General features: G+C 37.3%; 2 protein-coding genes and 1 long non-coding RNA gene across 5 annotated transcripts in view, besides 4 other annotated features; 1 reads left to right on the top strand and 2 right to left on the bottom strand.

Moving 5' to 3' along the window:
- GLIPR1 (GLI pathogenesis related 1) lies at positions 1-23,109 on the top strand. 2 transcript variants are annotated; one of them, NM_006851.3, is made up of 6 exons: positions 1-300; positions 1,080-1,325; positions 9,652-9,764; positions 14,823-14,908; positions 17,940-17,966; positions 18,070-23,109. In NM_006851.3, exons 1-6 carry the CDS (start codon positions 127-129, stop codon positions 18,222-18,224), a joined length of 801 nt encoding a protein of 266 aa, NP_006842.2. In that variant the 5' UTR covers positions 1-126; the 3' UTR covers positions 18,225-23,109. The 2 variants fall into 2 exon arrangements, with proteins under 2 accessions (NP_006842.2, XP_047284087.1); XM_047428131.1 differs by lacking the exons at positions 9,652-9,764; positions 14,823-14,908; positions 17,940-17,966; positions 18,070-23,109 and adding an exon at positions 6,985-9,026.
- Positions 2,269-2,318: an enhancer, noted in NCBI's record as "active region_6669". NCBI's record gives its function as "activates an Ori minimal core promoter by ATAC-STARR-seq in GM12878 lymphoblastoid cells {active_cell/tissue: GM12878}" and the evidence as "EXISTENCE:reporter gene assay evidence [ECO:0000049][PMID:35858748]".
- Positions 2,700-9,067, bottom strand: GLIPR1-AS1 (GLIPR1 antisense RNA 1). Its single transcript, XR_007063373.1, has 2 exons — positions 9,022-9,067; positions 2,700-5,404 (listed from the first exon to the last, which is right to left on the bottom strand). It is a non-coding gene; the product is annotated as a GLIPR1 antisense RNA 1 (long non-coding RNA).
- Positions 4,626-4,795: a silencer, noted in NCBI's record as "silent region_4662". NCBI's record gives its function as "represses an Ori minimal core promoter by ATAC-STARR-seq in GM12878 lymphoblastoid cells {active_cell/tissue: GM12878}" and the evidence as "EXISTENCE:reporter gene assay evidence [ECO:0000049][PMID:35858748]".
- Positions 6,387-6,888: an enhancer, noted in NCBI's record as "H3K27ac hESC enhancer chr12:75880921-75881422 (GRCh37/hg19 assembly coordinates)". NCBI's record gives its function as "activates a minimal SCP1, AML or CMV promoter by ChIP-STARR-seq in naive H9 embryonic stem cells {active_cell/tissue: H9 hESC(naive)}" and the evidence as "EXISTENCE:reporter gene assay evidence [ECO:0000049][PMID:30033119]".
- Positions 6,889-7,388: an enhancer, noted in NCBI's record as "H3K27ac hESC enhancer chr12:75881423-75881922 (GRCh37/hg19 assembly coordinates)". NCBI's record gives its function as "activates a minimal SCP1, AML or CMV promoter by ChIP-STARR-seq in naive H9 embryonic stem cells {active_cell/tissue: H9 hESC(naive)}" and the evidence as "EXISTENCE:reporter gene assay evidence [ECO:0000049][PMID:30033119]".
- KRR1 (KRR1 small subunit processome component) overlaps positions 10,109-25,479 on the bottom strand; it is a 20,747-nt gene continuing 5,376 nt past the window's right edge. For both annotated transcript variants that reach the window (NM_007043.7, XM_047428133.1), the window contains exons 6-10: positions 24,444-24,500; positions 23,150-23,320; positions 21,169-21,246; positions 20,969-21,062; positions 10,109-19,197 (exon numbers count right to left, since the gene is read on the bottom strand). In NM_007043.7, the coding sequence (NP_008974.5) occupies positions 19,055-19,197; positions 20,969-21,062; positions 21,169-21,246; positions 23,150-23,320; positions 24,444-24,500 (543 nt within the window). In that variant the 3' untranslated portion in view covers positions 10,109-19,054. The remainder of the gene's footprint in view (positions 19,198-20,968; positions 21,063-21,168; positions 21,247-23,149; positions 23,321-24,443; positions 24,501-25,479) is intronic.

Below are 25,479 nucleotides of genomic sequence, written 5' to 3' on the forward strand. Positions count from 1 at the left end.
CTGTTTTCTCAAAGCTGAAGTCGGCTAGGTTTGCAAAGCTGTGGGCTGAGCACTCAGGCAATCACACTCTCAGAAACTGCGGCGGCTCTGGACTGCAGCCTCCCAAGGCTCCATGCCAGACAAAGCATGCGTGTCACACTTGCTACAATAGCCTGGATGGTTTCTTTTGTCTCCAATTATTCACACACAGCAAATATTTTGCCAGATATCGAAAATGAAGATTTCATCAAAGACTGCGTTCGAATCCATAACAAGTTCCGATCAGAGGTGAAACCAACAGCCAGTGATATGCTATACATGGTAAGGAAAATATCATTAATTGTGGCGTCAGTCAGTCAGAAACAACTAATGTGTATTGACTTTGGTGTTAATACCTTCGTAATACTGAATGATTTTTTTTTCATTGTGATTAATGTATGCAGTAAATTCACAGTCTGTGATCAAAACACATCCAGTTTAGCTCTGTCTACCCAACTGTTGTTATAAGCAAGTGCCACAGCACATTTTACTTCTCTTTGGACACTTCCTGTTTTCTGGTTTTCAGTGGATTTTACTTCTCTTTTTGTTATCTTCCTCCCTGTTAATTTTTGTGATTTGGTTTTCTTTTTTTTTTTTTTTTTTTGTCTCTAAATTTACTTTTTTTGCTGCTGACAAAGTACTGAGTTGCTCAGGTAGGCAGAATGGCATCTGGGGAAAGGATGGGATTTTGATTCAGTAAGGCTTGGGATTGAATTTCAGATCTGTGGCTTTAAGCTGGTTTTTAACCTTTCTGAACTTCTTAGGATATGGGCTGTTGTGGTTATGGAATAATGTTGTGAAACACGGCACACACTATTTTGCCCACAATTAGCCTTCAGTGAAATGTCAGTTTTCCTCACTTAGATTCTAAATTCCATGAAACTAAATTGTCACGTTTCCTACCAGCCCTACTCAGTGCTTGAAGACCATATTTATAGAGGACTCATATGCAGTGGTATCTTCTCTCCTTATCTCACCTCGTTTTCCATTCAAATTCCCACTGTACTCACCCCAGTTACATTTCAGATGAACCCCCTATTGTTTAATGTTTATTTTTGCAGACTTGGGACCCAGCACTAGCCCAAATTGCAAAAGCATGGGCCAGCAATTGCCAGTTTTCACATAATACACGGCTGAAGCCACCCCACAAGCTGCACCCAAACTTCACTTCACTGGGAGAGAACATCTGGACTGGGTCTGTGCCCATTTTTTCTGTGTCTTCCGCCATCACAAACTGGTATGACGAAATCCAGGACTATGACTTCAAGACTCGGATATGCAAAAAAGTCTGTGGCCACTACACTCAGGTAAGGATCTGCCCTATATTATCTTGAAACTGTCTTTTCAAGTATGAGGAGAAAAATTGTACTATGAAGTTAAGAAAATGTATAGTATGCTAGTATACCTGTAAATATAAGGGAGTTAAATAGAACAGCCTCCAAGAACAGAAAATAATGCTTGAAAAGTTTAGTTGTGTGAACTAAACACATAATAGGTAATATGTGAGGCCCACCAACTTGGACAGGCTTTGAACAATTCCTGTAACAGCTATTCTCCCATAGGACTTTATTCCATTTGTGAGAAATCAAAGAACCTTATGAGTGAAAGGATTTTCAGGTTCCAGCTGTAGCATGAGTTTTAAATGAAATTTGAGCCAATTGTTTTGGGACTATAAAATTGGAAGAAACAAGACTCTCAGACAGAAACATCAATAAGAACTGATGCTTCCACAACCTCTCATTCTCTCAAACATCGACTGAAAACCTACTGTGTGCCATGCACTAGGCACCACGCACGGTGCTACACAAGGAGGGAGAAAAAGTCAGTCCCAGGCCAACAGAGAGGCCAACGTGTAAACTTATATGAACCATTCTGAGGGTATTCTGCCCCCAGAATCCATATTATTAGTCCCAATAGCCACATTCAGAGCCACCCATTGAGTTTTTTTTTTTTTTTTTAATTTTTACTCAAGCTGATTCTGGCTCCCTAACCCTACCTCACATTTGCAGCATGATGGAAACAACTCTCTAGGGAGCATCTGTCATAATTGTCTTCAGACGCTGCCTTCCTGTCCTGGCTACATTTTGTTTATTTACTGTCACTTCCTGGCCATCCTTGTCAAACCAATAACGTACGGTACTTAACCTATAATTGACTGTTTTGGGGCACAAAAAATCAGTTGAAATGAGGTATGAAGGCAAAAACGTTTCTATCAAGGCAGTTACATTGAAACATTAGGTGGTTTTAAGGAACAACATGGTGTAAGAAAACCTCCCTTACTCCAGCTCAGCCTTACAAAGCCTGTGATCTCATTCGTGGTGCTACAGATGAACCAAGTTTGGTGCAGTTACAAAAAATTATTATAAGAGTAAAATGAATTTCTCCTAAATTTACTTCATAAACTAACAATTTTGGTTTACATTTACAAATAAATTTAACCAGGAAATAAGTTTCCTTGGATTCCAACAAGACCTAGGGGAGTAGAAAGCTAAATCTAGATAGCCTACAAGTGGTACTTGTACTGTTATGCATTGCGGTATTTAAATACTCAGAAATAATTGTCAGTTTGAGGGTGCCTACTTTCATTTATTTATTAGTCAGTGTTTAAGCTTTTACCCTATAACAGGCACTAGTGATATGTCTTAGTCCAGATTCTTGGAAAACAGAGCCTGAGACAATAGTTTATGAGCTAACATTTTATTGGGATACAATCTTGGAGAAGCGGAAGTGAGGAGAAATAGGGAATGAGCCAGGGAAGGAGGAGAAATACAGCTGGAAATGGTCCCTGGCCCTCAGAAATTGACCTTTTGGGAGAGACTTATGTGTAAATGGATTATGACAGTGTTTGGCTAGTACAATTTAGAGAAGCTGACAAAGTGCCATGTGAGCAAGGAGGACAGAATGAGCAACTTATCCGGCCAAAAGGAAGTGTAAAGCTTCACACTGCTGGAGACATGTGAATTGGTACTTGAAAACTGAGTGGGAATTTTTCAGATGAAAAGGAAAGGGAAGAGAATTCTCAGCAAGGTGTGGAAAGTATACAATGTGTATGAATGGGCCTGGTACTTTAGATCAATGGCAAGAAGCTCAGCATGCCAAATATATAGAGGTCAAAAGACTGTAAAATTGACAACAGACTCCTAAACCATGCTCAATACACAAGTTAAGACACTCCATGTTCACCATTCCAGGAAATCGAAAGAAGAGAACATTTGAGTTTATGCCATAAATGCCTGAGATTTCACAGATGGCCCTCCCAAAATTAACTGAGCTTACTTGTAAAATTTCCCCTTACATCTAAGGGAAAAAAGGAGGACTAATATTTTGGTCATGAGAAAATTCATTTTCTAAAACCCAGTCCCATACATACAGATATTAAAACCCAAGCTCAGTGATCCTAACATGAGTGATCCTCTTTAAGAAACCACTACATTCTACCCCCACTTCAGAAGAGGGGCACTCATCACGGGGAGAATGTCCAAGAACCCCCTGGGCTGGGAAGATAGAGCAGCAGCAATCACTTTTTAAATGGGCATAGTGTTTAGCTCTCTACACTGAAGACCTCATTCAATTATTACCACAAATCTATTAAGGAGATGTTAATGGTATTACCCACAGGTGAATAAACAGACTTAGAGAGGTTAATAAGTTGTTCCCCTGATGTCATTTAGCTAGTAAGATGAAGAGTTGAGGTTCAGATATTAGATATGTTGGAAGGCTTAAATAATAATTTCACTTGCGTCCTTGTGAAGAGACCACCAAACAGTCTTTGTGTGAGCAATAAAGCTTTTTATCACCTGGGTACAGGCAGGCTGAGTTCAAAAAGAGAGTCAATGAAGGGAGATGGGGTGGAGCTGTTTTATAGGATTTGGGTAATGGAAAATTACAGTCAAAGGGGGTTGTTCTCTGGCTGGCAGGGGTGGGAGTCACAAGGTGCTCAGTGGGGGAGCTTTTGAGCCAGGATGAGCCAGGAGAAGGAATTTCACAAGGTAATGTCATCAGTTAAGGCAGGAACAGGGCATTTTCACTTCTTTTGTGATTCCTCAGTTACTTCAGGCCATCTGGATGTATACGTGCAGGTCACAGGAGATATGATGGCTTAGCTTGGGCTCAGAGGCCTGACAAATAAAATATGTATACATTACCTAATAAAATACTAGTATTTAGTAGGCATTGAACAAAGGGTAGATCCTTACATAAGCTGGTTTTCCAACAATCATAATGGAAGAAGGATCTGATAGCTAGGTGAAAGACTGTTTTCATCATGACAAGAAATCTTCCTGGGGGACTCAAAACTACTCAATTGCTGTGTTAAATTCATGCTGAACAGTTACTTTAAGTGGATATTACAACCTCCTACTTATCCTCATCTTCTCTTCAAAAATCGAGCTATTTGCAGATTTTGGCTGATGATGGGAGGTTGTACAGAATAAAGAAAATAGATTCAGGCCCATTAACTCCTCACAAAATGTATGATATTTCTTGATGTATTCATTCAACACTTTAGCTTTGTCTTCACTGGAGATAGACTGGCATTGAGAAAAAATGTTGGTGTATAAAATGGAAGATGACTCAAATTCGACATTCTGTTGCTGACAGTTCAGCTTTATAAAGTTTAGAAATAGTTTAATTAAAGTATCTGGGCAGGGTAGAGGATTACTTGGATTTGATAGTGCTAGGATTTCTCACTAGATGGCGCTACTGATCTTATTTTAGTTTTTCTCTTCCTGCCTCCTCCTCTCACCCTCTTGACAGCTTTATTTTATTTATTTATTTATTTATTTATTTATTTTTTTGAGACGGAGTCTCGCTCTGTCGCCCAGGCTGGAGTGCAGTGGCGGGATCTCGGCTCACTGCAAGCTCCGCCTCCCGGGTTCACGCCATTCTCCTGCCTCAGCCTCCCAAGTAGCTGGGACTACAGGCGCCCGCCACTACGCCCGGCTAATTTTTTGTATTTTTAGTAGAGATGGGGTTTCACCGTTTTAGCCGGGATGGTCTCGATCTCCTGACCTCGTGATCCGCCCGCCTCGGCCAGCTTTATTTTTATACTCGCATAGAACCATGGAAATGTGACCTGTTTCACAATTTCTGTAGTAGGTTTCATATATGTTACAATGTTACCATACTCCCGATAATGAACCAGAAGAGCTCATACCGAGAATTGAAAGGGAAAGATGGTAGGAAGGGGTTGTGGGCCTATAAGGGAGACATCTTCCTTCCCTCTGGGTTCCCCAGGTGCAGTGCTTTTGTAAGAAAGGTATAAAGAGTGGTTCCTGGTTCTGAAGAGCTTGCTAAAAGAGAAAACACTCTAAAAGCATCTTGCTGAGGGCATGGACTGTCCTCACAGTACTTCATGGCCAGGCAGAATTAGGTTCCAATCTTTTACCTACAAAAGGAAGAGCAATAACACTTTATAAGGATTAAACATGATGTCACATGTAAAATGCTTAATGATACACCTAAGTTCTCAAAAATGAGTAGCGCTTATAATTATGGTTTTTTGTTTACTACAGTAAGAAAACATACAACAGAAACCTGCCTGATAAAAAAAAAAATTAAAGTGTTAAGAATTTTTAAGCCTAAGAAACTTAGTGGTAAGGGAATGAAACAAGAATATTTGCTGAGTGCTTGCTATGTTCCAGAAGCTCATTTAAAACTTCAAAATAGGCCTATGGAGTTGGTATTGTTATTATCCTCATTTAATAGATAAGGAACCTAAGACCAAGGTCACACTGTAAGTGGCAAAGCTTGAATATGAACTCAAGCCTTGTGGCTCCAAAGCCCACAAGTTTAACCAAAAACCAGAGTGCCCATGAAGCTTTTAAAAAGAGACTGACTTGGATAGATAAACTGTGCTACATCCACGTAATAAATATTACTCAGCAATAAAAAGCAGTGACTACAAATGAATACAACAAATGCCTATACTAAGTGAAAGAAGCCAGATTCAAAAAGCTATATTTAGACTGATTCCATTCATATAACATTCTGGAAAAGGCAAAACTACAGAAACAGATTAATGACTGCTGGGGTCTGGTGGGGGTTGACCACAAAGGGGCTCAAGGGAACTTTCTGGGGCGATAAAAATATTCTATATCTTGAATGTGGTAGTGGCTACACAACTGTATTCTTTTGTCAAAATTCATAGAAATGTACATCTAAAAATCATAAATGTTATTGTATCTTTATTATACCCTAATAAACCTGACTTTTAAAAAAAGAGGCCAACTAAAACACACAAAATGAATGGTAACTAACATTTGCACACTTCTGAGGAAAAAGTATTAAAATGGGGAAGGGATCCAAAGATTAAGAATACTTTTGATATAACAACGCTACAGAAGAAAGTGCTGGAAGACCAAAGGATAAAAATATAAAATGAGCCAAGGTGACAATAAAGGAATAAAGACAACACTGAACACAGCATGCATAGGAATTACCTGAGGAACTTGTTAAAATGCAGACCCCAAAAGCAACTCCAGTGACTGGCATTCAGTAGGTCTGGGACAGGCCCAAGATCATTTTAAACAAAGGACCCCACATAAAATCACTTGAGATATAGAATAAAATTAAGAAATTTTAAAAATAAAACAAAACTGATTAGAAAGTAGAAGTTTAAGGATCAAACCTGAGGATTAACAACCCTTATAAAACTGGGCTTTCGCAGTGAGACAGAGGCCTAAGCTGATTCATTGCCTGTTCAGGCTGGAGTTCCCCGCAGGGGGTTCCTGGGGATAAAGAAATGTTTCTAGGGAGCACCCCTTTTAGATCATGGAGTAGGGAAGTACACTCGCCCTTGCCAAAGGAGGGTACCCTCTCCAGTTGCCAAACCAAGGAGAAGGCAGCCCACACTCTGCCCATCATCTCCCTAGTCACGTCCCCACTTCTACCACACCTTTAAATCTTGGAGAAGCTGAGACTCCAACCTCAGCTCCCCTCTTGCCTCACTTCCTACTCTCCCTCCAGGTGTCACAGGAAAGGGGTCGGGATCCAAACCCCAAGAGAGGGTTCTTGAATCTCGCGCGAGAAAATCCAGGGTGAGTCCGTAAAGTGAAGGCAAGTTTATTAAGAAAGAAAAGAAATAAAAGAATGGCTACTCCATAGACAGAGCAGTCCTGAGGGCTGCTGGTTGCCCATTTTTATGGTTATTTCTTGATGATATGTTAAACAAGGGGCAGATTATTCATGCCCTCCCTTTTTAGACGATACAGGGTAACTTCCTGACGTTGCCACGGCATTTGTAAACTGTCATGGTGGGAGTGCAGCAGTGAGGACACCAGAGTCACACTCATCGCCATCTTGGTTTTGGTGGGTTTTAGCTGGCTTCCTTACTGCAACCTGTTTTATCCGCAAGGTCTTTGACCTGTATCTTGTGCCAAACTCCTATCTCCCCTGTGACTTAGAATGCCTAACCGTCTGGGAATGCAGCCCAGTAGGTCTCAGCCTCATTTTACCCAGCCCCTATTCGAGACGGAGTTGTTAGGGCCGGGCATGGTGGCTCACGCCTGTAATCCCAGCACTTTGGGAGGCCGAGGCAGGCAGATCACCTGAGGTCAGTAGTTTGAGACCAGCCTGACCAACATAGTGAAACCCCATCTCTACTAAAAATACAAAATTAGCCGGGCATGGTGGCACATGCCTGTAATTCCAGCTACTTGGGAGCCTGAGGCAGGAGAATCGCTTGAACCTGGGAGGCGGAGGTTGCAATAAGCCGAGATTGCACCATTGCACTCCAGCCTGGGCAACAAGAGCAAAACTCCGTCTCAAAAACAAACAAACAAAAAAACAAAACCACAACAAAAAAACACAACACCAAGATGGAGTTGCTCTAGTTCAAACACCTGATACAGGGAGTAAATTTCATTTATTTTTAAAGTAAACTTCTTCATTTTCTGCAGCCACACTGGCTTTTCTTTGAGTTCTGTGAATGGGTCAGTCCCACCCAGGGATCACACAGGATGTTGCCCTCTGCTGGAAGACTCCAGACCAGCTCATCCCAGCTCCAGCTCCACCTCATTTCTTCAGAGAAAGGCACCATGCCATATATGCCCTTAGCATCTTCCACTGCCTATTCACAGTGGTCAAACCCTCACCTGATGAGTTTCATGACTGCTTTTTTTCTAAGTTTTGTGAATGTACCCACTGGTTCTAGCTCACTCAATTTTGAATGTATTTGGCACAGTTCTTATGACAAAATTGCTCAAAAACTTATGAGTAAAAAATAATTTAAAATGTAATTTGGTACTGCTGTAAAAATGAGTGCATTTAATTGCTGGCTGTATCCACCTTTAAATACTCTCTTCTTTAGGCTTTTGTGACACCAAACACTCTTGGTCAAGATGGGCTATATAATTGAATTTGTGGAGCCCATTGCAAAATGATGTGGAATCTTTTGTTCAGAAAGCAAAAGAAAAGCACCACTAAAGGTGCTAAAATATGTGACAGCACTGATCTAAACCAAGCATGGGGCTCTTTTGAGTGCTGGATCCCATGTAACAGCGCAGGTCTCTCTGTTCTTGGTTTCCCTCCTACATCACTGACCACTCCTTCAGTCTGTTTTGCAGGCTGGTTTTGTGTTTGCTTTCATTATTCCAGACTCTCATTTACTTGATCTATTATATTTGCCTGTGTGATCTAATCTTGCTCCATGTCTTCCAGATTTACATCTCTAGCCTTACCCTGTCCTCTGGACTGCAGCCACCAAGTTAATCTTCACTTGATATCTAATAGGCCTCTCAAAATCAACATATTCTGAACAAAACCCCTGCCCACGCTCCCACCTACCCTCCTCCTTCCCTAGTTTTCTCCATCTCAGTAAATGTTTCTCAGGCCCCAAACCAAAACTTTATCTCTTCCCCTCTTACCCTACACTCAAAATCCTTTTAACTTTACCTCTAAGCTGAGCCATGAACCTGATTCATTCTTGGGAGCTCCACTGGCATCACCCACGTGTGAGTCACTATCTTTTCATTCTTGTACCACTGAAACAGCCTCCAAAATTACCTGCTTCCTGTTCCCCTTGCTCTTCTCAGTCCGTTCACTTCGTGACCTAAGACATGAAAAAGAACATAGCACTCACAAGAATCTCCCTGATCGGTTTCTCTGCCTTTGACCTCACTGCTTACAACTCTCTCCAACTCATCAGATCTTGGCTTCACTTGCTTTCTTCCTGCCAATCTATAATGCCAAGCAAATTCCATCTCAGGGCCTTTCTCCCTGGTGTTCCCTCTGCTTGGAATGCTCTTCCTCCATTGTTTAAGTTTCCTGAATGTTTGTCCTGAGTGCTGCATCCTCGTCGTCCAAGTCTCAGTTCAAATGCTTCCTCTGAACACCCAAGTAAAATCAGCATCACCTTGCCAGCAATCACTCCCTATTGCATTACCGTTTTATTTCTTCATTGTACTGTCAAAAATTATCTTATTTCACACACACACACACACACACACACACACACACACACACCCCAATAATGGTAACTACAGGTCTATCCAGCTGATTTCTGAGTATCTAAACCTTCCTGGGTTTTAAGCACTCTAACTAGAGTGGTATACCTCACCATGTTTATGAAGACCTAATCATACCCAATGTTTATCTTATGGTTTTTCTCTGTTAAAAATCCTTATTTCCTTTCAGGTTGTTTGGGCAGATAGTTACAAAGTTGGCTGCGCAGTTCAATTTTGCCCTAAAGTTTCTGGCTTTGACGCTCTTTCCAATGGAGCACATTTTATATGCAACTACGGACCAGGGTAAGTGCCTGAATCAACCGGTTTATAGGAAACGCCCCCCCCCCCCCGCAAAAAAAAACAACAACAAAAAAAAACATTTTAGCAGTATTCCTCTTCATTATAGAAAATCTGGATAAAGTATAAATAAAAAATTAACATAACCTTTAATTCTTCTGCCCAGAGATATACTTAATTAACATTCTGGTACATTTTTCTTGGAGAGAGAGAGGGTGTGTGTGTGTGTGTACATCCTTTATATATACTACCTAAATACATACGCACATATTTTTAAGAGTGGTAAGACTAAAATATTCATCAGGGACATAAATTGTATATGGTAATACCACAAAGTGGAAGAACTGATGTTATATTTATTGGTTTATTAGAAACTTGGCAATTTTACACAATTTTCAAAGCAAAACAGATTCCTCAACTTATATAACCTATTTCATTTACTTTTGACAGTTGTTTTTAAAACAGATATAGTTCCCACTTTGGGAAACAGGGCAAACACCTTCCTCCTACTTTCTTTAAACTTACATATGTGTGCTTGTGTCATACACATATTTAGAAATCTGATCATACTGAAAATATACATTTTCTATTTTTCACTTAAAATTATGCTGTGAAAAATTTTCCTTTTCAAAATTTTAAGTGATTTTAATCATAAAAATGATAGATTGTTTATATAATGCTTACAATGCTCTCAGCACTGTTAAAGTGCTTCACATATATTAACTTAATCTTCACCAGAAGTTTATGAGATGGCTCCTATTACTACCCCTGTTTGGCAAATGAGAACAGCAAGGCACACACGGGTCAGCAACCTGCCCAAAGTTCTACAGTTAGTGACTATCACTGATGGACTTTGATCTGGCTGTCTAGCTCCAGAGTCCATGCTCTTGATGGTACCACCATCCTGTTGAAGAATTTAGATTGTTCACTATATTTTCATTTAATATATGATGAACAACCTCATATATGTATCTTCAGTCACTTCTATTTCCCTATAATTCCTTGAGATACTAGCACGTAAAGACTGTGACCATTTTTGTTTTAAGTACATATTGCCAAATTACATTCCACCATTATATCAATTTGTATTTCACCATCAGTACTAGGTATTATAATTTCTTAGTATTTTCTAATTTGATGGAAATGGCATTTCATTTGCTTTCTTTTGCATCTCTGTGATTACTAGTAATTATAAATTTCTTCACATAATTGTCTATTTATATTCCTTTTTCTGTGAATCATGTGGGCTGACCATTTTTCTACTAGATTTTCTTATTTATAAAAGTTTTTATATTTTAAAGGTTTTTAACCATTTGCAATATATATAATGATCTTTAATTTGTTGCCTTTGAATTTTTGGATTCCTGGAGATTGGCTGAAAGAAAGCCATTTCCCTGGTGTAATGTGCAGAAGACATGCTCGATACTCTGACTGAGTGCTGTAGGTGTGAAGGAGGAGACAAAGCGTCATTCTGAAGATGACAGCTTTGACTTAATATCTTAAGAGTTGGAAAATAAAGAAAACCCAGAAAAAACTAGACAAAGCCATAATTCAGTTAGTGGTAACTTTTCATGACTTTTTTTTTTTTTTTTGAGACAGGGTCTCTCACTCTGTCACCCAGGCTGGAGTACAGTGGCTCGCTTACGGTTCACTGCAGGCTTAACCTCCCAGGCTCAAGCAATCCTCCCAACTCAGCCTTCCTAGTACCTGAGACTACAGGCACATGCCACCATGCCCAGTTAATTTTTTTGTAGAGACAGAGTTTTGCCATATTGCCCAGGCTCATCTCCAACTCCTGGGCTAAAGTGATCCACCTGCCTCAGCCTCCCAGAGTGCTGGGATTATAGGCATGAGCCACTACACCCGGCCTCATATGACATTTTTAATGGTTAAGATACAATTAATTTACTGTGTGACCCTGGACAAGTTAACTCTGAATCTCAGTTTAACCTCCAATAGATCAGGGTTACAGGACCCATCACTTAGAGTAGCTATGAAAGTGACAAGAGAAGGCTTTGTAAAATACTAGGTATATATAATGCTTGGCAATAGTGAATGTTTTGTAAGTATTCATGATTTTTATTCATTAAAGTATAAATGTAAATTTTCCTGGTTTAGACTCACTTATCTTCAGAGTTATAAACAATATTAAATTATAAAACTTACAACCAAAGTTATAATGCTTCCATAAAGACTAACTTCAAATATTCATTTATTCAACAAATATTTGTTTTACTGAGCTCCAAAGGAGAACAGGGCAGTCTCTGTCTTTATGAGAGTAATATTTATGGGGCAAACAGATAATAAAAATACAAGTAAAATAACTGCATCATTATGGGGCAATTAAGGAACTATAAATAATACTGTAATAGAAACTATCAATAGGCAAGGCCCCTGTTTAGAATAATCAGGGAAGGGCTTCTTGTGTTATATTTAAGCTTAGGCATGAAGAATGAGAAGGAATCAGACATAAGAACTTCTGGAACAGCTGTCTAGTGGAGAAAAGAACAGCAAAACTTCCGTGAAGAAAAGTTTGGCAAGTTTAAACCACAGAGACTGGTGCCCTCGGTCTGCTAAACAGATGAAACGGGGGGAGGAAGGCAGTTGCAGATCTAGCGGGAACTTTTAGATCATGACAAAGTTTACATAAGAAGTCATTCAAGTATATTAAGCAGGGGAGCGATGAGACCTTTAAATTTGGACATCAGTCTGGATGGAAAATGGATTAGAGGAGCATAAAAGGTAAAACAGAGAGACCAGTTAGGAATGTCCTCATTTCCCTTTGCCCTCTGCCCTCTGAGGTATTATTTTCCTATACACAAAAAGTTGTAGGCCCCCATTCCACATAATCTTAGGAAGTCCAGTATCCTCCTCAATATTTCTGATACCTCAGAATGGGGTCTGGGATGCTTAATCTTCCAGTTGCCTGTAATACTCTCCTCTTCATTTCCCCTGGGCACCATGAACAAGGGTATGGTGTGTAACAGATCTTTACTCAGAGTGGATTAGTGGAGGAGAGGATTATAGCACAGAAGAGGAAATAACTTTGACCACAAGATAGTCAAGATAGTACCAGTGTGCTTAGGCCGTCACTGCCTTAGGGACCCTTACCCATATTTATCTTTTTCTTTAAAGATTTGTCTTCGGTCTTCCCCTGGGTCCCATAACCCCAACCCTCTTCTCTCTCAGGCTACCAGGGAAAACATTGAAATGTCCTGTTGCTTTATTGTGCTGAATACTTTAGGTCCCACAGTCTTAATGACTCCCATCTAGACAAATCCAGGCCTTTCCAGTAGCATGTTTCTCCCAAGATGAATACTACCATTTCCACAGACCTCACCGACTGTCTTGGTTTTTAGCTTATTTTTAAGTAGCATTTTTTACCTTTTCCTTTACAGTTTGGAATGCACAACTAAGTATCATAAATGACTTTATTAAAATCATTCTAGAACTTAAACCACTTAATACTGTGCTTATTAACAATGAAAGACATTCCAATGATTAATGTCTATTTTGGACATCTTTTGAAATTGCTATCAGAATTTCTACTATATTACCTTTTTTCCATGGTGTAGAGTAAGCAGAGGGCTAATTAAATTTCTGAAGCAACTTAAAATTTGGAGCAAAATGAGATAAGAACATAGATTTGGGGTTGGAAATAAGGTATCGTTATAAAGTTGTGTGTCTAAGGTGAGAGTTCTCAACTTTGGAGGTAATTGTAGAGTGCTGGGGAGAGGAGGACCATAAACTTTGATTAGAAAATAGTTTTATTTTTATTTTCACTAACCTCTATTAAAAATAACATTTCCTTTCATTATGAATGAAGACAACACTCCACCATCATATTAGCAATAAACGTGACTCTGACTTAGCAGTATCATCTTTGTAAATATCAGATATTTTCATACCACATTCCACTTGCTGCAGAGAACTCAAAATATAGTTTGTGTTCATCACTGCATTGAAACTAATAGCCCCCGGTAGATCTTAATAGAGAAGCACATATTACTTTATCACAAATCTTGTTTTAAACATTTTGATAACTATTTCAATTTAATTGGTTTCCTTTATAATCCTATGTATTTTATGCATTTAACAACAAACTATGTTGAGAAAGAGCCCATAGGCCTCACCAGACTGCCAAAGGGTACGATTACACAAAAAAGTTTAGAACTTTTTCCAAAAGCAGAGTTCCAAAAAAAATTAGTGCAATGGCAGGTTCATTGAGATAAATGTGCCCCCTCTCCCCATTACTACTATGAGGATATTTATGGGGATATAAAATGCTTGGATATTATTTCACTTTCTAGTCTGTGACCTTGGTCAATTACTTATACTCTGTGACTCAGCCTCTAGCTATATAATGGGTATAAATAGACAACAGTAACTTCCTCATAGGGTTTTTGTGAAGATTATTTCATTCAAGGTTGTTTAGAACAAAGACAAGCACATGGTAGTGCTCACTAATTAGCAGCTATTATTCATATCACATCTTGTATGTGAAAACAATTTGTACTTTAGAAATTCCCCCATACCATTATTTATTATTTTTTTGGAAGGCACCAGCCAAATGGCTCCTATCCAGTGAAAATTATGGAGGGCTGACCAACTGAGAATATTGAATGTGGGTCACCATAGCTTTTCTAAGATGGACAGTTTTTTAAATGGCAGTAATCATATAGGCCAGAGGGTAGGTAAAGAGAGGGAGCACAGCCCTGGAGTTAAATCCAGGTTTCCTCTGACTCTGAAGTGTATAAATTGTGATTAAAGGTATCTCTTACATCTTTTGTCTCATCTGTAAAACAAGAATAACTTCCTCTCAGAGCTGTCACAATTAAATGGGATGCAGATTAAAACAGGTGCATAGACACAGGTACATAGAATGAACTATGCAAATATTAGCAGCCTTCCATTTCTGCCTTCCTGTCTTCACTTCTATTACCAACTCTCTGGACCTTTGTACTTCACTCCACTATTCTTCTGGATTTAGTTAAGGATTCATAGTAAATTGCAATTTTAAAAAACCGAAAAACTTCTAATGGACATCCTTCTTCTGCTTTACAGAGGGAATTACCCAACTTGGCCATATAAGAGAGGAGCCACCTGCAGTGCCTGCCCCAATAATGACAAGTGTTTGGACAATCTCTGTGGTGAGTAAAAGGAACAATACACCAATAGAATAACATAATAGTAACATGTAACTTTCTACAGAATTAACAATGAAACCATGTTTTATCTTAACGGCTATCTTCAAGGAAACTGGCATCAAGTAGCAATTAAACCAATGGCTTACTGTTCTAGGAATACATTTAAGAGAAATTTAAATGTGAAAATCACGTTCTTTTTATTTAGTTCTAATTGGTCAAACAACAACAACAAAAAAAACTGTCAGAAACTGTAGACTAAGATTCCTAAGATTTGCTTATTTCAGCAAGATCAAAAATAAGTATAACAGGTCATCCAAACAAACAGAATTCTGTTTTCGTTTTTTTTTTTGTTTTTTTTTTTTGAGACAGAGTCTTGCTCTGTCACCCATGCTAGAGTGCAGTGGTGTGATCTCAGCTCACTGCAACCTCCATCTCACGGGTTCAGGCGATCCTCCTGCCTCAGCCTCCCAAGTAGCTGAGATTACCATGCCACCATGCCCAGCCTGGCCAACATGGCAAAAACCCCCTCTACTAAAAATACAAAAACTAGCTGGGTGTGGTGGTGGACGCCCGTAACCCCAGCTACTCAGGAGGCTGAGGCAGGACAATCACTTGAGCCCAGGAGGTGGAGGTTGCAGTGAGCAGAGATTGTACCACTGCACTCCAGCCTGGGTGACACAGTGAGGGTCTATCTCCAAAAAATGAAAATAAAATAAAGCTGCAACATGGCACTTTTTATTAGCCAGACAGCATTTAATGAAGAAGTGTAGAAGCTGCAAGCAGTTAAATTTCCAAGGATGTTTTACTAAACATCCAAGCAAAATTCTGCTTTGTGATTTTGAAATATTAGTAAGTGACCAAGAGTTTATTTCTTGTTCTTGTTCTAGACACAAACCCTTCCATCCCAGTATGTTTTTTTACCATGGTGTGAAGGGGAAACTTCAATTAAGCTGTGCAAAGCCTGTGGTACTTTCGTGTCCATATTTGTAACAAACTGAACTCAGAGCAGCCGGGCTAGAGTAGGGTGCTTAGAATAGAGGAAGGACAGAGTCGGCCAAGTTCCACTGCACGAAATTTAGTTTGGAAAAAAGTGTTCCATTGCTCATGTTTTATAAGGTCCCTTGCAGGCCTAAAATTATAAAATTCTATATATTAAACTGCTTGCTCTCCTCCTTCCCATTTAATGTTGAATACTTATCTTTACATACAGTCGTACTTTTGCAAAGTTTTCTGAGCCATTTTTCTCCCAGTCCAATCATTCTTTATTTCACTTATATCACTCTTGTGAAGAAAAGTAACATGTAGCCACAATGCAGATAATATCAAGGTATCAATGTATTCACTGAATTCTTCCTTTCACTCACTCTTCACTTCAGAACGTATATATTTCTTCCTTCCAAATTAACCAGTATACATAAGGGCTAAAACTATGGATTTCAGAACCAGTATGCCAAGTTTTGGTGCAATTTCCAGTTTGACCACTGTGACTTTGGGCAAGTTTCTGCTTCTATTTTTTTCAACGAAACAACCCAGTGAAAAAAATGTTTCCCTTTAAAAATCTAGGCAATTAGTAACACTACCACCACCACAATGACAAAAATACTTCTGGTTTTAGCTTTTGATCTTTGGTGATCTAACTTGAGATGCTCTTTAATCTTGGGGAATAACATTTAGAAGATTAAAGCTGTAGTCCAATAATGAAAACCCTTGGACTCTTGAGAAAACACATGCTAACTTGTATTTATAAGATGTGAAACTCATTACCCATTTACTTCAGATAAGTGCTCAACATCTTACAGATTGATCTTGTCACTAATTTCCTATTCTCAGAGCTAGATTTATGTAATTTGTTTTCATGTAAGTTTAGGCTTACTTGAAAGTATTCTACTCTTCGCACTAATACTGAATAAGTAAGATTTGTGACTAAAAAACTTAAGAATCACCATTTGACCTTTTATAAGGTCTGATGAAGGTAAAGGTTAGAGGATAAAAGCTTTTATTTAACAGATTCCTTCTCAGACAAATTATGGCAAGCACTGGAGCATAAATTCCTTCGTGGTATTCCTTCGTGGTCTCCTAGATACTGCTGGTAGTTCAATAAATACCCTTGGAGGCCAAATCAGGACTGTTTTACAAAATGTGCTGGGCATATTAGTGGTACATAAGATGATTTTAGCTAGTTCACAGATGTACATTTGTTTCAATAGTTGAATATTGAACATTTAAAAATATATATAAAAAAAAATAACTAGAACATCACACTCTTGATTTCATCGACATAACTGCCAAGAAAAGTGAGGGTAGCATATTTACAGTAATTCACCACAAAGCCCACTCACAGGTATGAAGACCAGGGATGCTCACCAGTACCCAGAGGACCAGATGATTGATGGGTTCTACCACGAGCATCTAATAGCGACTGCTGCAGAACTGGTGTGGAAAAGGTTTCTATTTTATAAAAGAAAGTATCCAGAAGGCTAAAGGCAGTTGTGGAATTTATTTCTTCCCAGTGCTCTGATTGTCAAAATTTGAATAAAGCTCAGTGAAAGGAGGACAGTAATTAATGACTTGATAGCCAAACATCGTAATGATGATTTAGTGATATACTAGACTGGATGAAAGAGAGGTCACTGTCTTTTCACTATGGATTCATCATAAACAGTATCATTCTTCTCAGGAAGAAACTTATTTTTAGAACTATATTTTAATAAATTTCTCACATTCTAATATTTAATTTTTATTTTTTAAATTTTATTACCTGCTAGGTATGATGTGTAAAATGATTTTCCATTTATAGTAATGGTATAGTTTCCTTTTTATAAAAGGTTTATAAAGTTTATGTAAAAAGTCAACTTAAAAATACCAAGTTAATTCAGTCAGTTCAAAAAGTTTTGAATAATTAAACTTGGAAAGTCACTGCAATAAAGCCAAAGCAAGTTAATGGTCATAATTATAAGACTTAGCTTTTTAAAATAAAACTCTCAACTGTGTCTACCCTTTTAATTTTTTTTCTTTCTTCCCCCTAACTTTACAGTTAACCGACAGCGAGACCAAGTCAAACGTACGTACATCAATCTTAAATTGTTTCATTAAGAGCTATGTGAATTCTGTCAGTGCATTATGAGGAACAATGTCTAAGAGGATATTCTATGTTTGTTTCACAGGTTACTACTCTGTTGTATATCCAGGCTGGCCCATATATCCACGTAACAGATACACTTCTCTCTTTCTCATTGTTAATTCAGTAATTCTAATACTGTCTGTTATAATTACCATTTTGGTACAGCACAAGTACCCTAATTTAGTTCTTTTGGACTAATACAATTCAGGAAAGAAAAAACCCAAAAACCAACCTCATTCACATATGGCTTTTTTTTTAACCAATAACAATTAGGTGTACTTCTATTTTAAAACATTTCAGAAAAAAATATATGTTATAGCAATACTCTTACTCAAAAGAAGAAATTTCCTAACTCTATCAGATAAACTCATCTTTAGTATAAATAAGCATTATTTGCAGGTTGCCACAGGTGGACTTTTAGTAAGTAACCTAACCCATGTTTCAGCTTCTAAATCTGCAAAATGAGCAAGGTACAGTAGCACATTTTTAGGTGATTCTTAGTAACTCCAGTAGCCTTCATTAGTTAAAAACATTATTATTTTTTGCATGCTGCTTCGACTCTAAATATCTGGTTTTCCCTGTCTTTTTGGTTTACTACTTCCCCAGATTCAGAACAGAGGAGTAACTAGGGGATCTGATTTTAGAGGCCTTAATTTTCTGTTCATGGACTGTTAAAAGTAAAACCAAACTTTCAAAAGGGATAAACCTAAATATTTACTTGTTATCATTAGAGAGGGAACATCAAATGCTGGGACATCATTACTAACCAATAGCATCAGACACTGGATTTAATGGATAATCACAATGGTCGTAATGTATACAAAGACTTATATACCACTTTCTCGTATAAATTTTTCAAAAAATACAATAATAATATAATTTATAAAGAACACTCTTCTATGAACAACCACCACCACCAAAAAAAAAAAAAGCCCTCAGAAAATTTCTCACAAATAAGGCAACTAATGCCTGATATCTCAAAATCCTTTACAAAAGGAGATAGTTCTAGTCAAGGAGTTTTGGGTATGTTACTTTTTTTTCTTCTTTTTCTTTTCATCTGCCTCCATCTTAAGTGCAATTTCTTCAGCTGTAAGAGCTCCCAGTTTCTTATTCTTTGCTTTCTTAACCTTTTCCTTGATGCTGGCCACATCAATTTTAGTTTCAGTAGAAGCTAGACAAATTAAAAGCACAACACATGTAATACTTTAGATTTTACCAAGTAAAACAAAGAATATATGTTTAACAAAGAATATATGTTTAAGGCAGTTAACTTCAGAGTATTCTTATAATTGAATAATTGAAAGGTGATCACAGTATAAAATATAAAAACACTTGCCTAAAGCAGTTAGAAATTTCTTCAGATTAAGATAAAACAAATCATAAAATACTTTATATATTAGTACAAGTATACATAAAAATGGCATAAATGGCATAATTGAACCAATTACTGGATTCAACTATATTAAGACTATTTCCTTAAATCCTACTTCAGACTAAATTATTTTACCTACATTCTTTTCCATATTTTGGAACTTCTGAGTCATTATTTTCCATCTTGCACATTAAAATAATTTAAAATTACATGTATCCCTTCTCAATAAGTTTAATCAGCTAACCCTAAGCTAGAGGTCAAAATCTACTTCCTCTAATATCAAAACGAAAATTTAAAGTTTTCCAAATATTAATTCAATATTAATTGAATATTCAATGAATTAATTCATTTAATGTTAGATTAATTCATTGAATATTAATTCAATGAATGACTAATTAATAGTATTTTAACAAGATTTTGGTATATTTAACAACATTTTGGTAATAAAGACAATAATTTGAGAGTGTGTGGAAGTCCCCCTAATAGAAGCCAACTATCTAATCAATGCCAAAAGTGTGAACAAAATAGAGAAAGGAAGCAGTGAAAAAGAATGCAACTTTTTCTTACCATTCAAAGTACAGGATCACAGCATAAAAGAATCATAAGATAAAACATCAAACTACCCAGCAACCTGAGAAGCACAGAGTGTTAAAGCCTCCACCGTGTGGAGAAACTAAATTAGGGTAACTAGCTATTGAGTATATTGAGTACCTTCAAAGCACTCAACTGACAGGTTTTACAGACTGGAAATTATAATACTTATGACATTTCTACCTTTTATATAACCAATAATCTACCATAGAATGTAGTATTTTTAAAGCTATTAACAAGCAATATATTAAAATAATAATGTATTATATCTGTTTCTGACCCAGTCTATGTACAATATTGCTGGTGAGCCCTCTCCCTTCAGTGTGTCACTGTTCACTTTGGAGGGTTACTTTAGGAAGAGGATAAGTGTTACCACAGGGGAAAAAAATGCAGAAGAGGATGCATCAGAAGAAATGGCATGACAATGTTTTCTCTTAGTGTCTTTTAAATACTAGGTTAGTGCGAAAGTGATTTCTGCCATTTAAAAACCACAATCACTTTCGCACTAATAGCTCCTGAATAAGACCTGTCAGCATCCTTTAGTCTAAGGTGATGAGAAATCCATGTTACCGATATAGAAGCCAAACTCTAAGCCAAGATCACATAAAGAGAAGAAAAAGTACAACTTCTGATAATTCCTCTTTGAGAGGCATGACAGCAGAGCTCAGGGATCTTCTTGCATTTCTACAGAAGATGCACTGGCTGCCCTGGGTTTGTATCTTTCACAACAAAGAGTCTTTTCCAAGCACAGACCAGAGGTCAGGAGAGGACTGTCAATCCAGTTTGCACTGAAATAGGCATTAGCTGCCTCTAAATTATAAATTATCTCAGCCATCCCTTGTCCTTAGGATTAGTAATTAATGAAATGCTAAGAGAACTGATGAAAAGATACAACTGTTTCTTAAAAAGATTCAGACAAATTTATTATGGGTTTACTTTTCCTAATTAATAAAGACTTTTACATCATAGAAAGCATTACCTTCCTTAGGTTTCACAATTGGTTTTTCCTTAGGTGGAATAAATGCTTTGTTTCTTTCCTCTTGTCTCTTACTGATGGCTTCTGCTTGTTTAGCCTACATTAATAAATAAAAAATATATCAGTTAAATGTATTTATAGTTAAATAATTCAAGTATCTATGAACTTTGCTATTCATGTGAGCCAGACATAAAGTGCCGTACCTTTATTGCTTCCATTTTCTGCCGCTTCTTCTGATTTGCCTTCAAAAAGTATTCACCACTAGCCAATTCTTTATCGATCTGTTGAAAACGGTATTTACAATTACATCAGAAATAATGTAGAGGAGAAGTCATGTCCTAAGCAAGTCACAATATCCTTAGGGTAAAAACAATGGGGTCAAACTGATTTATTAATAAAAATGGTAGTGACATAAAGGAAACAGAGTCTAAGCTGAGGGGAATACATACACAAAAGTGTGGAGGTAGGAAAGCACCTCCATGGAATACAACCCAGAGTAGTTCAGGGATATGGCATGGAAGGTCACTGATTCAGAAAAGTGTGAGAAGAAACTGGAGAGAGAGTTTTGGGGAAAATTTGAAGAAGCTTCAATGGCAGACAAAGTAGGAGGGATAAGATTTAGAAATGACTGTAGGTTTCTGAGAAGACTGTAAAGACCAAAGAATAATTTTAATGGAGAGGAATGAAGAATAGATGAGAGCCTGGAATAAAGGTAGTGGCATGCAGAATAAAAGCCAGAACTATCAGGAATTGGTGACTAATTAGCAAAAGCAACAGCTTGTTCATTCAATATACAGCCAACATGTAAAATGTGTATAACTGACCTGTCTCCCACTTACATAGCATTATTATATCTAAGGCACTGTTCTAAGCTCTTTATAATTACTCATTTAATCCTCACTAACAATTCTTTAAGATAGGTATTACCATTACTCCCACTTTAGGTATGGGGAAACTTAAGTATGGATGGGATAAATAACTCGCCCAGTCACATAATGAATTAAGTGTTAAGAACAAGTCAATCGAGACATCACTGTTTCAAGAAGCTTACACAGCTACAGAAGAAAGATAAGTCAATTACTACAAGAAAGGGCCATAAGAAATAAGGCAGGTGTTATGGAAGCATGGTTTAATGACTGCATCACTCCACTTTCCCCCTAACTACTATCAATTTCCTCCATGATCCAAAACTTCCATTGTTTTTTCACTATGATCATCATTTTCCCCGTCAATCACAAATCTTCCCTGAAAGACTCCAACCATGGTTGTGGAAAAAAGAGATGTAGAAAGCAATGAGTTCACATGCTGAGCAGAAGTAGAAAGGGAAGGCTTTAGGATATAGCCAAGGAAGGGAATAATGAAGCAAGAACCCCCAGGAGACAGGTGAAGATGGAATTCAAAGAACACATAGAAGAGGCTGATGCAGGTGGAAGAAAACCCATACGTGAGAGAAGAGGAAACAGAAAGGGGTTCTTATCTGGTGGTCTCAAATATTTCAATAAAATGCAATGTCATATGCTAAACATGGGAGGGCACTGAGAGAATTAAGAGGAAACATGAATTTTGAATGAAATTAATCCAAAGATAAAACTTTCTCTAACTTAATTTGGTAGCCACGTTGCAAGGAAGAAGTCAAGTTTTTAGACTGATCCAAGTTTTAGAGCTTTGCTGAGAAGGTGGGACAGAAGTAAAAAGGGGCATGAATCAAAACAATGATGTGCAAGAACAAAATGGAAACTGGTCATGGTGGGAAAGGAAATGAAGCAGAAGACACCTGACAAAAGGAATCATAACTTAGAAAAACGGTGGGTGTTACAATTTACAATTTAAGATTTCAGAACAAGAACAACCATAGAGCACACAGTCACAATAATGTTGCCAAATCAGAGAAAAGAGTATTGCAGACTAAACGAACTTTTATCCATGGAACATTTACAGTGGCTACAGGGTCACAAACCTCCTGGATGCAGTTTATAATCAATGTGAACGCCCCACTGCACACCCCCATGCACTCAGCTCAAAATATGCCTATTTATATTTACCCTCAGTTTCTTATAGCTCTGCACACACACACACAATATATATATATACACATATCCCACCTGAAATACTTTCAATAAAGTTTCTGACCAAATACATTAAAATAGATTCTCCTTCATATGAAGTTCTACATTTAGTACTAACCTGACTTTCTGGTTGTGGTGGTGGGAATGGCGTATATTCTTTCTTAACAGTTTTTTTCTTTGGTTCCTTGCGTTTATTCACATTTTTGTGTTTGAACTGTGGCAAAAATCTCTCCCAACTTTGTGATCGTAATTCAGAATCTTTTGCCAACTCTCTCTTAATCATTAAGCTCTTTAGTCATGCAACAAAGTAAAAATTTTTACTTTCCAAAGTCACACATTTGTCAGACTCAGACATTATAAATATTGCTTCTATAAATAATAAAAGAAACAGTTCCTAGTTTCTTTGGTGAAATTAAACCAATTACATAAGCAAAAAGGTAGGTTATCACAAACATGTATAATTATTAGAAAACCATTAGAAATTTAATTACAAAATGCAGAATTGTTAAAATGAGACAAAAATAAAACTGAATTTTCAACCATTATTTCATTAAAACATTTAAAATGCCACTTATAAAAGCAGGGAGGGCTCTTAATTAGCTGATGTTCCCTGCAAGCAGGAAGTTTTCAGTAGCAACTGAAATATCACAGAAAAAGACAAAAGTAAACTTTCTCACGATTACAGAAAACCAGTATTTTCACATTTCCCTATTCCATTTAAATTTCAGACCATGGAACATCAGAGGATGCAAACCAGGGATCAGACACATAGTTTTGTTTTTGTCTGCAATATCCCAATATCCCAATGTAACTCAAAATCACTTTCCCCCAATCTAACAGTGACTTTATAACTTAAGTTCATCAAATTTAAGTGGATTGCTCAACAAACCCATCATAAAATAGTTCTATATACCATGGTTACATTTCCAAGAATAATCAAACTTTGTGCACACAGGGATATAACAGTTCTCTCTCAAAGGAGCTACAATTTGAGTGTTAAATTCATAAAAAGGTTTTAACGCAACATGAGATGTTCCAGATTTTAATAGAAAAAGGCAGATTTCCGAAAGATCATATCCTTAAATACATGGGTTCATAATCTAAGAAAACTGGATTGATATGATCTACAACAGATTCTGTGAAGCTTACTTTCATTGATTACAACTATATAACATATTACAGTATCCCCTTCAGTAGTTTTCACACTGTGCTCCACAGAGAGCTTCTAAGAAGTACCTACAAAACTGGGGTAGAATTAAGTAGGCTGAAGTCTACCCCTAATTTACCCAAAATAGCTCTGCTTTATCTGTTTGTGCATTAGAATTTCATAAAACATTTAATTTCAAGAAAGGTTTCTGTAGCTAAAAGAAGTATGATAATCACTGGTACAGTTATATATAATTACCACTCACTTTAATGTTATAAATTGGATGAATATTCTTCATAGTATCAAGGACTACTTTTCTAACCTGAAATTTGCAAAGAAAAATGAATTAGTCACAAGGATTTTAATGAGCTATGGAGAAGAGGATTAATACTGCAAAAATCAGGTAATGGGTACCAAATTAAATAATGTAATTAAATAATTAAGTAGTTCCTTCAACTGCTCTGAGTGGCTTCTCCATCTTTCATAAAGGCAGTCAATCTCCCTTGAATACAATACAGTTTCTCAATTACTGCTAAAATGTAGCACAGAGAACTAATACAACACTCTAAAGCAATGTGATTTAGGAGGAAGAGGGCTGGAATACAAGGACTGCCACTGCATACAGGAAAATCACTTTCCTGTTCCAGCTTTCTCATTTGTAATATAAGATAAAACCATATACCTCAAGACTCTCTTGTAAGAATTGTATTCAATATACTTAATTATTGCTCCATGAGAAAAGAGCAGACAATTTATGACAAAAAAGGCCAATAGGATTACTATTAAAGGCCCTGGAAAGGAAGCACAACCTCACAAGCCAGATCCAGACAGTAATAGTACCAAAAGGAGTTAACAGAAACAGCATTTGCTCCACAGATTTCCTCACCACATGTAATTTGAGAAGTTAAAGAAAATGTTCATGAAAAGTTATTAAACATTATACTAAAATTCAAACAAAAGAAACTACATCTTGAAGAAAAGTTTTCAGAGTGTGACCTCTACTGGCTGTATACACTACTGCAAATAACTGGATTTTTGCTCAATTTTCCCGTCATTTGGACATATGTAACTATACCATGTTCATACATGCTACAGACTGAAGATCTTAATGCTCATTTAAATTTTATAGTGGGAGGAGTAATAGTGTGCAGACCATCTAATTCAGAAATGGATGTCTCCATAGTTGCCAAGGTTGGCCAAAACATGTTAGGGTCCAGATATGATGATTCCCTTGAATTATATGACATAAAAAGTATTTACTAATGGGAAATCAAAGCACATTCTAAAGAAATAAAATTATA

Source organism: Homo sapiens, chromosome 12 (assembly GCF_000001405.40).
Source record: "Homo sapiens chromosome 12, GRCh38.p14 Primary Assembly".
Lineage (NCBI taxonomy): Eukaryota > Metazoa > Chordata > Mammalia > Primates > Hominidae > Homo > Homo sapiens.